Below are 16,443 nucleotides of genomic sequence, written 5' to 3' on the forward strand. Positions count from 1 at the left end.
TCTCCCTACCCCTCTGCTTGGGCAGCATCACAGGACAGGTAGCAGTCACGTCTCCTCCATGGCTCCAGCTCCTGCCAGACAAGTCCTCCATGACTTCAGTTTCAACCTGGTGGTCCTGACTCCAGGGCTCTGGTAATACCCAGATCTCTCCAGCACAGGGAAGTGAGAGGCTTCCAACTGAGGCTGATCTTAGAGTTGCCTCACCTGCTCCTATTTGGTATTTTTGTGCTTCCATTAACCCAGCAACACATTTTCTGTATTAACTCCCCTCTGTTTGACGTGTATAGGGATGCTGTCTGTTTGTTTGCCTGACACAGGTGATACATTGCTCCTGATAGGAAGGAGGTGCATGGGCTCTGGCCTGGAAAGGAATAAAGATTCAGGAATTTAGTCTGTGGGAATGGAAAGGTTAAGGGCCACCTAAAGTAACAGGAAGTTTCACACATGCTGAGATTGAGCTGAAGCAACACCACTCTGTGTCTCGGAGGCCTTCGGGAAGGCTAGGGAGGGTTTTATGCCTGTACAAATGTTTCAGCCAAATATCAGCACCAAATGATGCCCAGGGAGAAATGCCACTTACGTAGGCAAGCCACAGGGCTGAAAAGATGGATCCAGTCTACCACGTTATTTTCTGCTAACTTTAAATCAAATATTTGGGACTCTTGGGGAATGACTCACCCATAGTATTTGGAAAGGCAGAGCTGGAAGGGATCTTCTTTCAAATTATATGAACAAGAGCACTAAAGCTCTTATATGTTAAAATGATTTGCTCAAGGTCACACAGCTGGCATAGCCAGAGGCGAACTCCTCTTTCCTGATTCCAGGTCCACAGCTGTTTTTACTCATCTGCTGTTTTTTACCACTCCCCATGTTTCAGTTCATTCCATGCAGGTTCGGTCCTTTGGTAACCACAAGGTTATGAACAAATTTGAATGGGTTTGTTCCCCATCAATAATTTCGAATTCTGAACTAATAATAACGAACACGTACTCATGTACGTTCCAAAATAACCAGTTTGGACTAATTTTTAAATCAAAGTAATTTAATAAACAGACATTGTATAGTTAATTGAAATGCAGGTAGAATTCAGGTAGTACATACATTCTGCCTTGTTAGTAAAAAACAGCCAAAAACCTCAAGCCTGTGGTGTTTACTCTTTCTTATGCAATTAGCCTTTATGAAATCCTATACATGCAACACTTCTATATTTAGAATGAACACCAAGGGTTTAGGATTAAAAAAAAAAATACCTGAGGCAAAGACTTTAGAGACATTATCTGTTTAATAAATATGATTGTAAAAGCAATAAACAAGAGCAATTATACATTACACTACATAGTATTTAACAAAAAATACATCAAAAAAGTCATTTTAAAATTAGAAGTAGTTCCAATACTATAAGAAAACTTTTTTTTTTTTTAATTGGCTTCCTATAAAAATAAGTCGGCAAATGAGAGATTTCAATGCTCAGTTGGATTCCTGGAAAACACAGAACAGCTGCCAAGCACCCCACTGCTCTCAAAGTTGCTGTTTGGAACTTCTGAAAAAAAAGCAAAGCAAACCTCTGCATTTTGGACAGTGAATCCAATTAAAAATAAGGCAAGGTAGAAAGTGTTGCTTGGGTGGTTCAGGGTAGAACATGCACAGTTTGCCTTCTGGGATTTTGGAAAACGTTGCAGTATCGGATTTTTAGCTTGCCCTGAATCTTACCTTCCACATACATCCCTCCCTACACACTCCTCTGACCTTAAGCCCACCAAACTCCTTGTGTGTTTGCACCTGCGATTAGCGAGTAGGTAGGCACTTAGGTCCCTCCCATTTGTAGGCTCTCATTACTGCCTTCTGTTTGAGATTCAGCTGGAATGGCCTAGTACAATGGTTCTCAAACTTTAGTATGTATCACAATCACTGGGAGGGCTTGTTAAAATAGGTGGCTGGGCCCACTGTCACTTAGCAACAGAGAACACCACTATTCATCCCCTAGAGTTTCTAATTCAGTAGGTATGGGGTATGGATCCAGAATCTGGATCTCTAACTAGCCCAAGTGATAGTGATACTGCTGATCCAGGTACCACACTTTGAGAACAACTGGCCAAGGTCCTAAGAACAATGAGGTCCTCCTCTCTGAGCAGCACCTTGCCTCACTAATCTCCTACAGATGGGAGGGAGCTTTGAGGAGAGGCACATGAGGATCCTGGAGATGCTGAATCTCTAGCTGGCCATCTTTGGTCACTTCCCAAAATGCCAGGTATCTCATGTCGACCTCTATTTTTAATTAGGATTTACAGCCCATTCTTCCCTATGTCTTTCCATTCATTTATTTCTTCAACAAATAGTTTTCATACTACTACTCTAGGCAAGGCACTGTGCTAGAATAAGAGTGTTATACCTCTTTCATACTTTTCTAATTAAAATGAATTGAACTGCAACTCTGAGGACTCCCTGTGCTGGTTTGAGTGAGCCTCTTTTGATTTTCCAACACTTTGTCTTCCACATTAAATTTGGGAGACTCCAACTGAAGAGGATCAATGAGGATGTTTCCTATGAGATAGGAAGCCTGGCAGGTTGGGGATCAATTGAGTTCTACAAATAGGTGACTGCCTCAGGCCTAGCCCATTTCCCAGATTCATATGGGGTATCCTCAACCATAAACATCTCTGCCTGACAAACTTCTGACAGCAGCTTTGCTATTCTTTCTGTGCCTGAACTACATGAAGTCATGGACATCAGGATCTTTAGGACACCCTCATTATCACCAGGGCCTGTGTTATACCCTGTTGGCTTAGGGACATAGCAAAGAAGGAGGCTGAGCATACTAAGAGGTTTATCAGAACTTCTTTCTCCTATAGTTTATAGTGGGCTTTGCCCAGTCCATAATACTAAAGGGGCCTCTGCTGAACAGGCTTTTGTTTCCCTCTTTCTCTGAGCCTTCTTTCATGATTACCCTGGGAAAAATGGGGTTTCTTCATGCTTTGTGCCAATCTTTTTTGCCAATCAGTAACTCTCCTCCTTTATACAGACTTAAATCTTTACTTTAATGATACTATGATACTCAGAGGTCAGAGAGCACACATGAAATCACTGGGATCATCCTAAATAATCAAACTCTCACCCTAATGTAAGACAAGACCCCCATTTATTCTCTCAGACTGTTTGACACTCTTAAACACAAAGTCCATTAACCTGTTTCTCCTTCCAGTTAAAATCAGTTTTATTTCACAAACATTTCTATTCTACTGTGAGAGTGGAAATACCAGGTAACAGCAACCGTCACAGGAGGAAATTGCCCTGCGAAATTGTCACACATTCAAAACATTTCTCACAAGAATCTTCTGGAATCAGATCGCACGAGATTTTCGTTAAGGTGTGAGAACACCACAATTCATCTCTATGCTTTCTTTTCCAAAGTACATGGCCAGGTTTGAATTACTTTGCATATATCAACTCTTTCGCATACAGTATATGTTTCCAGGTGGGAAAAGGCAGGGATATTTGAAAAAGGCAGGTTCTAGAGGAAAAGACAAAGATACATGAAACTGAACCCTGCTGTGCAGGATGCAGCAAGGTCCATGGGCACAGAAGCTGGCATGCTTGGGAATGTACAAAACTGACAAAGGGCTCAGAAACTTGTGAGTAGTGGGGGCAGGGGCGGCACAGGCCAGGCCAGTATTTAGGAAACGTCAGGGTTAATGTCCAGAATCTAGCAATATGTTTGGGAAGAAAAACTGAGAACAGTTGAAGGACAACTTACTTGGGGTTTGGAGGGAAGAGATTCAAAGATATCAACAGATCATGGTCACACATGGATGACAAACAAATGTGAAGACAGGACAATGGGTAACTAATGGGATTCCATTTCCTACTGCAGTTGGGGCAGGAGTAGGGAAAGCTGCAAGGGGAGGCAATCATGGTGGAAAGAGGTGAACAGGAAACCAAGGTCCGTTTCTGACATGCTTTGCCTCCCTGCCTCCCTTCCTTCCTTATTCTACCGGCACAAAGGGATCTTCAACTCGCATCTTTGTTCCTGTGGCCACAGAGAGTGCAGAAAGCAGCCTTGTGGCCACTGCTGACCAACAGAGCTACCAAAGCTAACTTAGAAGGGAAATGACAGTATGGAAAGTGGAACAGAGAAACAGCTCAGGGTTTCAAACTCCTGTGCACGTCTTTGTGTCTTATGAAAGGAGCTGGGGTAGCTAATCCACCCATCAGCCTTTAATGCTAAAATAGCTGATAAATCTAGAGCCAAGAATATTTCCAAAAATACATGCAGATTTCCTTGGCCTATATATGTTATGAATTTTCTACAAACACGACCGATCAGAAAAAAGAGAGAGAAGAAGAAAGAGGGAGAGGGGAGTGTTTTCCATTAAAATAGAGCACCTGTACACTGCCCCTCCAGACATGTTCTCAGAGTATTGTCCACATGCACAGGCTTAAAGCTAAAAACCCTTGTTGTCTGTGTCTGAAGAATTAAAAAGTCCCGATGCAGTGAGTGTTTGTTTGTTTGTTTGGATTTTGATTGTTTATATTTTATGTTTTGTTTTGTTTTTGTTTTTGTTTTTTTACTGGCGTCCTCCATTCAAACATTTACATAGGTAGGGATTTCTTTTGTGCTTTGATTCTCAGCAACTATGGAAATACTTCCTGGCAAAATAGGAAACAGAACAACAAAGGAAAGAAAAAAAACACAAAGTTAGTGGTCATGAAGGATGATGTACTTGACAAGAGCGAAATTCTTTCCTGATCAGCAGGTCGCCTGTAGCCTTTGGGGGTTTTCCTTAAATTGCATACTGTGCCCCAGCAGATCCCCGCTTTGGCGTTGAAGGCGGAGTGGCGTGTCTTGCTCTTTGCAATCGGAGAGATGAGTCACCAGGTTGAGTAGAAGGGGAGGGAGGGGAGGGTAAAGCTACTCTCCTAAGAGAAAACGTGTAACACTTACTCATTTAATGACACTGGAAAGGGAAAGGTGTCAGAGACTTTGCAATGTGCTGCGATATCTTCCTGGAGAAGGAGGAATTACTACTTTAATAAAGCAAACAGAGGCTGTGCTTCATACCCTACGGAAATGCGACTGAGAACCAAACGATCCCCAAAAATGCACTTAGAAGCTTTAGGAATGAGTAGACAGGGTGAATGCTTCTCTGGACTTGAAGGCAGAAAAGACTTTTTTCTTTTTAGCCCCAAGCAATCACACATTTATTACCTTGCCTCTCCAAATAAAAGAAAGTGCACTGTGAAAATCGGACACCAGATGTGACTGCAGTTGTTATCATTATCTATGATAGGAGCCAGTCACTGCATTTACATTTCCCCTTAACACAGCCACAGACCTTTCCCATATTCATTTAAAGAGGGTTATGTTTCCGTTTACATACTCATTGTTTTCCAAGTAAGATTAAAAATTTTATGTAAAGGCCTTCTAGGTGGTTTGGCATTATCACATTAGAGTGGAGCATGAATGGTTATATAATAATTTATTCACTGTTGTCAGCAATGCAGGATCTAGATGTAAACATATAAGGCTTCAACTCCTAATGCCAACAGACAGGAGGAACCAGACAGAGAAATGGATCAGCAATAGTGGCTTCATAGGTTTGTCTAGCTTCCTGGAAAATTTCTGCTGCAATAAATAGCAGAATCTAGCAAGTGAACGTCAGATTCTCTATACCTCGTTGTTGGATTCCCATGCCTACTTCACAGGCAGAGAGAGAGCCATTGAAATATGAGAAAGTCCATTTTACAACTTCTGGTAAGGGACAGTCTAAAAAGAGGAAGAAATTTGCTAATCTGCTCTGTAATAGTCTCACCCACCAGTGGTCTCTCTCAGGATGCTCTACTGCCTGGATGTCTGCAAACATTATGCCTCTTGTCCTCAATCTTAGGTTCCAAATCTCCTGAGGGAAAGTTCCTAGACTACCAATAGATGTAAAAAAAAAAAAAATTCCCTGGAGGATCAGGCTGGCCACTCTCATTATGTCACTTCTCTACTGGTGTTCCAGAGCAGTTTGCCCTCCTTAAGAGCTGTATCCAGTTGAGGCTACCATGTTTCATTCTAGTCAATACATACCATGTCCTGCAAACCCTGCCCAGCCCTCTGGTCCACCAGCCTTAGCCTCTGAGGCCTCTCCTTCTTATATACTATTAAAGCAAATGCTTTGCTCTTTGCCCATAAACATATAACATTTTAACATTTTAAGCCCAATATTTTAGGGAGGGTTTTGCAAAAGGAGGAATAAACTAATGAGAGAAAAAAACTAGATAGAAGCAAGAGGTTTGTTTGTTTTTCCCCCATCCCAATCAGAGGAAGCAGGGAAAAAGCCATCTTAGCTGTTTCTCTCAGGGGTGTTAGAGCAAAAGAAAGTGGTTATGTCAAGCCAGAAAGGGGTTAGAGAGAGAGTCAGCCATTGCCTACTCAGCCGAACAGCTGGTGGCTACTGGGAATCATTTACCTATGAGCTGGGATTCCACCTTCTCATCTATAAGCTGGCCAGGCCTCCTTAGTTCAGTCTGAGGGACATTGGGCCTGCTTTCAGAGTGACTGACTGGACTGATCATCTCTTGTTCTTTCTCATTCTGCATCTGGGCATAAACATTAATCCCCGGGATCTTCCTAAAATATTAATAGAAACCATCACTGCTATGCACATCACTGTAACACATGCTTCTGAACCTGTCAGGGAGAAGGAAGAGGTCAGGGGTGGGGGAACGTGGATAGAGGGACACGCACCTTTTAAACTTGTAGATGACGAACACTGCCAGCCCCACAAACACCACTGAGAGCAGCATCAGCATGGCAGATCCACTGTGGGTTGGAGTGAGGTCCACCAGGGGGGCTTGTGGGGGAAACAGAGCAGAGAAAAATGAGCAGAGAACTGGGCAGGTGAGACTCTATGAGAGGCTCAAATGTTTCACACACAAGCAGAGGTAAGTCCTGGAAAACCATGTGGGATATACACACAAGATGCATGTCACATGGCTGACATGGGATGCATCTGAGCCCACCCCTACTCCCACCCCAAATGTTCCTGCTCTGCAGCAGAGCAATGAAAAGCACAGACCCCAGGGCCAGGCTGTCTGGATTCAGGTCCCACTCTAACTAGCTATGTGGTCTTGGGCAATTTGCTTCACCTTAATGTACCTTATGTGGTAAAATAAAAATAATGGTATATACTTCATTGGGTTCTTATGAGGATTAAGTGAGCTAATGTATGTTACGCATTGAGAAAAGTGCCAGGCACATAGTAAGTCATGTACCTATTAGATTTCATTTCTACTGCTGCTAGTATTAGTATTATTAATCAATATTTATAATATAATAATTATATTTTATTATACTCTGAGTGTAAGCTTTTTCCACAAAGCAAAACAGATTGCCAATAAAACCACCTGCAGGAATACATTTGTGAATTCAACCACCCCGTCACCCCTACTCCAGTAGTTGTCATGTGAGAAAAATAATTGGAAAGTTGTCATACGTGAGAGAAAGAACAGCAAAGTGATGGAGCATGCTTGTATTTTTGTACACAGGAAACTGATGGCCAAGTGAGTATTTCACGAGGGTAGCCGCGGAGATGCTGAAGGAGGGATATGCCACCTGGCTGTCTCCACAATCTCCCAAAAGCTCTGACAGCCCTCCCCAAGATGCTCCAGCCTCTCAAACACAGTGAGTTTTTCTCTCAGACAAAACAGAAGCCTCTGCCTCCATGAAAGAGTCTCCCTCCCTGAGTTTCCCCTTGAGGTGCAGTCTGGAAAACACTTCTCGCCACCTCTCCACCTTCCCCCATCTCACAGTCAAACCTGTTGTACCTGTAGACTTTGCAATTAATTTCTACCCTCTTAAAAGTTGACATTTTGCAAATGTAGTGCAGCTCGTGCATAAAAGACAAGCCACATGTACTCCAGGGAAGCCTTGGTGCTGACCTTTACCTTCCATCAACTTAAGCAAAGCCTGATACCCAGAAATACAGGTGACCTTTAATCACCATTTTCTGTGGTTTTCTCTGGTGTGAGCCGAGAGGGCAACATTCTAATCACCCAGGTAAAAAAGTTCAAGAATAAGTGACTATAATACTGATGGTCTCAGACAAGACTCTCAGTTGCTTCTGCTCTGTCTACTCTTTTCAGGATTACATCTCGGCCACTCTGTATTGATACTGGGAAGCATATTCCATCTAACCACATAGTTTTGGTGAAAAATGAAAGCCACCCCTTCCTTCTCAGAAAATAGTCATTTCAGGAGAGTTGGCTTTCAGGAGGCACTGAATATAAGGAACCCCCCCGCTATTTTCTCTCCCCTGTAAGTCAAACTTCACCTCAGTTTTGAAATGGGAATATGTAGGTTTGTGTGTAAAAGATGGGTGGGGTCCCACTGCCGTGGAACGCCCAAGGCAAATTTTCTTTTGGTTCAAAATTAGAAAACAAAGCTCTCAATGCCATCGGCAGAGAGGTTCAGAAATTCTTCAGAACTCACCCTGCAACTGGTAGGATGTCATCAGGGGAAGAGAACACCTTCCATTTGTCATAGACATTATCACAATTGATTTTCACAAATGGAAGGCAGTGACTATGATCCCCATTAAACAGATAACAATGAAGTTCTCATTGGTTAGTGTTGTTTTAAAAGGACTTAGTACTTACTAGTAAATGGAAGAACCAAGACTTGAACCTGAATCGTCATACATACACACACACACACACACACACACACACACACACACACTTTCTATATACTCAATCCTGGGCTAATTTCAGTAAAAGACATATTTCTGAGGATGGGGATTAGGACTAAGACTATAGCACAAAAAGCAAATTAACAAGGAGCACAAGTTAAAATACTAAGTTTTAAAAGGAGCAGTAGGAATAATAAATCATGTACGCTTACGTTTGGAAGACAGGTATGTGTATACATATATGCATATGTGTATATATATGTATGGATATGTATGTGTGCATGCAAACACACACACACAGAATACAGAAATGAAGCCTCATGTACCTACCACTCAGCTTCAACAACCATCAACCAACAGCCAGTCTTATTTTATCCAGTCCCCACAACCTCCAACCACTGGATTATTTTGAAATAAATCTTGGAAAACTTATAATTTAACCACCTATAACTCTAAAAGATAAGATCTCTCTCTCTCTCATCATTACCACAATACCATCATCACATCAAGGAAATTATATTAGGAAGATGTTTTAAAGGCAATATTCTAATGCAAACCCTTAATTTGTCAGGGAACAATGGAGGCTCGGAAGGGGCCACAGATGATTGGGATGGTTAGAGGTTGAAATAAAGCTAAACTTTTCACTCCTAACTAAATGCTCTTTCAGCATAACCAGAATACCAGTGATATGAAGCAACTAAGAATACTGAGCTTGCTTGAAAAGGTTGGCATTTGAAATAAATGGAAAACTGAGAGAAAATTACTTTGTCCAAGCTGTCAGCAACACAGCAAACTCGCATATGCATGCATGCACACACACAAACACATACACACACACACACACACACATGAACCTTTTCCCTTCTCTTTCCTTCCTCCTATCTCTCCCCATCCCCAGGTTGTCTTTCGATTCTAAATCATTTACACTTAAATCATCATTCTTCAACAAGCAGCATTAACACTGTTAAGTAATTAGCATATTATTCTGGGAAAATGAACTTCTGTATCCCAGTTCTAAAATGTGTGTTATCCATTCACCCTCCCCATCTCTGCATCAGTCAGTCATTTCTCAGAGGCAGGAAGCAGGAAGCAGGAAGCAGCCAGCAGCAGTGGCCAGAGACTGACTACCACTGCCCTCTGTTCCGTGGGTGGTGTCTGCTTGCTGATTGGTGCCTGAGTATAAAGGGACCTATTATTGCTCCATACAACAGCAGCTGCATTTCTTAGTTTGCCCAGCACTTAGGTGCATTTGTGTGTGTTTTGCTGAGGGATGGAAACTTGTGATAAATGGGCTTTAGCTTGTTGTGTGGAATTAGCATACTTTAATCCCTTTCCAGTTGCAGCTTAAACAAGGTAGACGTGTAGGGGAAAGTGCTGAGCAGTTTTTTGCCATTATTCATGCACAAAGTAAAACATGGATACCAGCAGTACTCCAAGTGACTCAACATTTTTAAGCCTGCGTACTTGCACATATCATTTCTAAAATCCTCTGAGGAATTTGGAAATGCATTGAATTTTTATATTTTATTCATGAGGACCTGGAACGATAATAATGGGAACACTTACAATAATAACAACAATCTTCTTGTGAAAAGTGATTGCCACGTAGTAAGTGCTAAATAAATGGTTATAGTTGTATGTATGAGAACAAATTCAAAATTCCACATTTGGGGTTAAGTAATGATATGAGCCCTTTTCAGAATCAAACCTGGCTCTGTCACTTATAGACTAAGTGACTTAAATTAAATCTCAGTTTCCTCATCTGCAAAATGGAGACGAAACTAGTGTTTAGTCTAGAAATTTGTGAGATTAAAATGAGATGGAATTTATAAAGTACTGTCATAGTATTTGGGACAGACTACATGCCCAATATTTCTAACATTGTCATATTATTGCTATCATATTTCTGAAAGTGTATTCTTCTACAGAAAAAAAATCCTGAAAAATGATGACAGTTCCCTGGTGAGATAATTTGGGGCAATGATACATACAACATTCCCCATATGGAGATTCACAATGCACATCAGTATATTAAATGATCACAGCAGCCCTTGCAGAAAAGAACACATTTAACTTTACCATAGTCTTTCATAAACTCATTTGACCACAGACCCTTTGCAGAACTAGGTTCCACATAACACTCTAGGAAATGCCTCTCCCCAGGCACTGCTTTCCCTGTTGCTGCAGTTTTTTCGTTTTGTTTTGTTTTGTTTTTAGATGAAGTCTTGCTTTGTCACCCAGACTGGAGTACAGTGACACAATCTCGATTCACTGCAATCTTCTCCTGTGTTCAATCAATTCTCTTGCCTCAGCCTCTCGAGTAGCTGAGATTACAGGCACCTGCCACCACGCATGGCTAATTTTTTTTTTTGTACTTTTAGTAGAGATGGGGTTTCACCATGTTGGCCAGGCTGGTCTCGAACGCTAACCTTGAGTGATCCACCCGCCTTGACCTCCCAAAGTGCTGGGATTACAGGTGTGAGCCATTGCACCCGGTCCCCCTTGCTGCAGTTTTGCCCTTTGCTCGGTTTCTTTCCAAGTTTTAAGGTCAATAACATGGTAGCATCACCCAGTGAAGCCATGCAGAACAATCTTATTGTTGTCCAGTGTTCACTTTCATTCTATCAAAAGGACATTCCTGGAGAACTGCTACTTGCACTATGACCCCGAAACTTTCAACTCTAATTCTAATCCAAGAGTTAGTGTTTTCAGGATGTTGTAGAAGTAATTTACCATACCTTGATATTCTTTTTTCCTCTCCTGACCCCAAAGTAGACTCAATTCAGGCTTGAGTTATATGCTTTGAATATCACAAAATCCATGTGGTCTGAAATATTTTTTCAGAAATTACAGTGATATGGGAATAGCACAGAGAAAGTTTATCCAGAATGCAGAATAGGCAGAAAGGCTTCCATTTACAGAGCACTTTCAGTTGTCCAATGGGCCTTCCCTCCATTTAGAAACAAATCCAATCATCAGAGTCTTAAAGTTTCCTATGTTATTGGGAAAAAGCCACAAGACTGCAGACTAGACTAGGTGGGAATTTCCAGGGAAGTCTCTTGTTAAAGTAGCCAATTGGGAGGCCATTAGACTGAGGCAGCTCTGGCGTCCTGGGTTCCTATGTAACCAAACCAAAACCCAAGTAAAGAGTAAACAGTCATATTCTAGGAAAACAAAACTTAAGCTTAATCAATTAGAAACCACTAGCTAATATCTAATGAGAGACTTTCTACTAGAATTATCCAAAGAAGGCTATTCCTCCATTTTAACCGATCAAATATTTTCTTTGCCTAGCTTTCACCTTCACCCCATAAAAGCCTCATGCCTTTTAGGGAGCCCTAAATCAACTGTGGTCTAGTGCTAACTGATTAATGAATCATTGTTTGCCCAAATAAACTCTTTAACATTTTAATGTGTCTCAGTTTGTCCTTTAGTAGCTCTAATGACAAGTGAAGCATTGTTTCTGAATTTAAACTGAGGGTGAATCTTCAGTAATATCCAGTGACAGGGAGTTGAGGTCACTTAGCCAAGTAATGACAAACATCAGTAACTCCAAGACCAACCATCATCATAATAAACAGACAAGAGGAGAAGAATGACTTATGGTTTTCTAAGGTTGGAAGGTGATGATTCCTGGCTACTATGTGAAATATTCCTCAAAGTGTAGCTTATGGACTACCTGAATCAGAATTACTTGGAGCACTTGTGAAAATATTGTTAGCTAGGCTTCACTTGAAAAAAAAACATGTATAGTCCAAAAAAAATTAGCCAGGCATGGTGGCAGGCACCTGTAGTCCCAGCTACTCGGGAGGTTGAGGCAGGAGAATGGCATGAACCCGGGAGGTGGAGCTTGCAGTGAGCCAAGATCGTGCCACTGTACTCCAGCCTAGGCAACAGAGTGAGACTCTGTCTCAAAAAAAAAAAAAAATGTATAGTCTTTGAGAGTAGGTCTCCAAAATCCATATATGTGACAAGGTACCCAGGTAATTATTATGTATAACAGTTTGAGAATACCGCATAGCAGGCCCCAGATATTCTCACTCATAAAACTTCCAGTCCTGTCTTTAGGGCATGCCTGACTTTTATATTTTCTGGATCACTAAAACAAAGCAAAAATACCCCCCTACACACACAAATGTTCCCCTTTGCTGTTGATAGTAGCTCAATCTGGTGATGGCTCCAGAAGAAAGTTTGTTAAACTACCTAAAAGCATCTCAAGTCTCCCCTAAGTGAGCAGTCAGCCTCATGTAGATATGGATTACATTGCTGGCTCAATCCTCTACCCTTCTCTGTGTCTAAACTTTGTGCAATGAGTTTGAAGCTTGTCTCACCTAAAAGGCAAGAGGTAAAATCTGTTTCTTCATGTCTTGAATCTGAGCTATTATTATAATCTGCATCTGGCAATGGAATGCAATGGAAGCAATGGTGTGCTAATTGTGAATTTCACGGCCTTGCATACCTCTGCTTTTTCTCTTGGAATCCTACCACTGCCATGTGTGAGCAAGACCAGAACAGTCAAAGGATGAAAGGCCATGTAGAGGCCAGGTTAATTATTCCAACCAAAGCATGCTAGAGCAGCCTGCAGGCAGCTGACCCGTAACATGTGAGACAGACCAGCCAAGATCAGCAGAGCTCCCCAACCAACAACCCATAGCTGATTGCAGACAGACAAGTGAATGTAGATAAGACTAGACGCATAAGCAAAAATAAATGCTTACTATTAAGCCACTGAACTTCTAGGTGGTTTGTTACATAGCAATAGCTTATTTACTTTCCTCAAAAGTCTCTTTCAACTGGTTAAACATTCAATTACCAATTATTACCTTTGAGCTCCACATTAGCCAATTTTTGGTATAGTCTTCTATCCCCACTCTCAGGGTGGCAGGGTAAAAGTAAGAAGACCATACATATTATTTTCAAAGATAAGACACTTTAAGAATGAAAGGGGGCGCTATTAAAGCTTACGCTGATATAGCATAGATAACCCAGGACAGTCCTGATCACTCTAGGTATCAGAAACTTGGTGTCTAAAGGGTAGCTTGTCCTATGTTCTGGCATCTTGTCTGTATTTTATATGTGTTATCCTTCCCCTTTGCTTTACTTTTTTTTTTTCTTTTTGCTAATTTCTCTTGACTATCTGCCTTGCCTTCCCCTGGGATACTGCATTTCTGACGCATGTTTGTGCCCCTGTTTCTGTTCATCTGACTGTTCCTTGCTGACCATTCTCTGACCAAGAGTTTCCAGACATATCCTCTAGCCTGGCTAACTCAGTCTAGTTACCCTGTAATCATTTCAGCCCCTTTTACGGTCCCCCGTAATCTCAGAAAAAAAGAAATGGTGAAGAAAGAATTTATTAGAAGCTAGGCCAGGCATGGTGGCTCATGCCTGCAATCTCAATGCTTTGAGAGGCTGAAGTGGGTGAATCTCCTGAGGCCAAGAGTTTGAGATCAGCCTGGGCAACATAGCAACACCCTGTCTCTACAGAAAATAAAAATATTAATTGGATGTGGTGGTGCGTGCCTGTAGTCCTAGCTACTCGAGAGGCTGAGGCAGACAGATCGCTTGAGCCCAGGTGTTCAAGGCTGTAGTGAGCTATGATGTGCCCCTGCCCTCCAGACTGGAAAACAGAACTAGATTCTGTGTCTAAACGAAGCCAACGAGCAACCTCATTGCTGCACGCTGGTAGGTAGATGAAAATATCACATTTAATCATATTGCGGGGAGGGATATATTTAGATATATATCTACATGATAAACCCACTATTGTTTATAACACCATAATGATTAAATAACTATGAAAAGCCGCTGGGTCTATGTATCTGTGCAACTACCTAATTACTTGAAGATAAAAAATATATTTATTTTGGGGAAAAATAAAAGGAAGAAAACATATCGGTACCAAGGCTTTACTTAAAAAAGACTTGTAAATGATTACTATGTAGATAATACGGTGACCGAAAACTAAAGAGACAGATAAACTTACTGGCTGTGGAAGAATTTCACCAGTACTAATTTCATCCCTAAATGGAAAATGTTATTGCAACAATTTACTTCACTTTACAGTTCAGAGTTCCACAACTCCTATTTGGCATCTGCATCCATAATGTTGTGGCTGAGATTATATTGTAGTTTCTAAAACTTCTTGACGAACGGTAATTCTCCCTTCAAGTGGAAAGTCTTTTTCTCAATGTGAAATTGTAGTGCAGAATTCATGATGTATCACGACCTAGGTCGAAATTTGAAGTTTCTTATTCCCTCCCAAATTTACTCATAACACATCCAGTGGTAGCAACTGAAGCCTGGAAATATTAATTCTCTAATATCTCTGTGATAACATCTTTTTATTACACCTGCAAAAGAAATTAAACCAGTCAGCAGCAGCCATAGAGGCCAAGATAACACAAGATAACAGTTTTATTAAAAAACCCACACATACCCTTGACAAAGGACAGTTTTCCTGAACCGAGCAGTTTAAATAAGGCAACTGATAGACAGACAGGAGGAGGTAGAAGCAAAGTTCCTGTGTATTTTTTTTGGGGGGGGTCATGTTTTTTTATTTAACCTGAGGTTTGAGGCTCTTCCTTTGATAAATATTAACCCTTTACCATTTTTATAATGTGCGTTTATCCAGAACTCCAGACGAACAGCGACCAAACTGGAAAGCCCAGCGTAGGGCAACCTCTGAATTCTGAAATATGTACAGACATATAGTGAAATGTAGCTGTATCATTTTATGCTCACACTGGCACATGAACAGCATCTAGATAATATTATTTGTTTAACTCTCATAAAACTCAAGGCTGTTCAATTACATCTGCCATTAAGATTCCAGTTCACACTTTAATCATGTTTCAACTGCTTCATGGCCACAGCTCTTGGCTGGCCTTTGCCATTCATCTAGATTATGGATTTAATATGCCCCAGATTCAGGGGCATGTTTCATTTTCTCCCCCTTCCTCATTGTCATTTGCCCATTCTGCCAATTAGGTTAGCTCCAAATATTCCAAGAAATTAGATTTTAATATTTATTACTAATTTCCTCCTGTACTTAATATCACAGGCTCTCCTTATTTAATTCATGCTTCTGTTTTAGTGGATGGCTTGAGTTGTAAATCAGATTTATTACTGGAGATAGTCGTTCACCTTTCCTTGTTATGCAGATGGATTTCTGTCTGTGAAAGGCTGTTGAACAGTGGTTGTTAAGACCAGTGAAGAGGCCACCGTCGTAAGCATCATTAGCAGAAACTTGCTAAAAATGAAGATTCCTGGGGCCGGGCGCGGTGGCTCATGGCTGTAATCCCAGCACTTTGGGAGGCCAAGGTGGGCAGATCACGAGGTCAGGAGATCGAGACCATCCTGGCCAACACGGTGAAACCCCATCTCTACTAAAAATACAAAAAATTAGCCGGGCGTGGTGGCAGGTGCCTGCGGTTCCAGCTACTCCGGAGGCTGAGGCAGGAGAATGGCGTGAACCCAGGAGGCAGAGCTTGCAGTGAGCCGAGATCACGCCACTGCACTCCAGCCTGGGTGACAGGGCAAGACTCCATCTCAAAAAAAAAAAAAAAAAAAAAAAAAAAAAAGAAGATTCCTATTCCTGGCTCCTTGGGATTCTTCACTGTGTGTGGTGAGGCTTAGAAAATCTCTATCTTTATAAAGCTTCCTAAGTTAATTGCAATGTAAAGTCACGTTTGAGAACAGCTGCTATTTATAGCAGATATCTCCCACCCTGAGTTGGAAAGAGTTTTCTAACTATGGGGCAGGGTTTCATGTATCT

At 41.4% G+C, this 16,443-nt stretch overlaps 1 protein-coding gene across 17 annotated transcripts in view; it reads right to left on the reverse strand.

Annotated features, from left to right (window-relative positions):
* Positions 1,022-16,443, reverse strand: part of SORCS1 (sortilin related VPS10 domain containing receptor 1) — a 607,476-nt gene continuing 592,054 nt past the window's right edge. For 5 of the 17 annotated variants that reach the window (XM_017015617.1, XM_017015615.3, NM_001387556.1 and 2 more), the window contains 3 exons: positions 6,728-6,833; positions 6,450-6,610; positions 1,022-1,540 (listed from right to left, as the gene is read on the reverse strand). In XM_017015617.1, coding sequence (XP_016871106.1) covers positions 1,461-1,540; positions 6,450-6,610; positions 6,728-6,833 — 347 coding nt within the window. In that variant the 3' untranslated portion in view covers positions 1,022-1,460. The other 12 variants (XM_047424545.1, NM_001013031.3, XM_047424546.1 and 9 more) reach the window with 8 other exon arrangements.

The sequence above is a fragment of the Homo sapiens genome, chromosome 10, assembly GCF_000001405.40.
Source record: "Homo sapiens chromosome 10, GRCh38.p14 Primary Assembly".
Classification (NCBI taxonomy): Eukaryota; Metazoa; Chordata; class Mammalia; order Primates; family Hominidae; genus Homo; species Homo sapiens.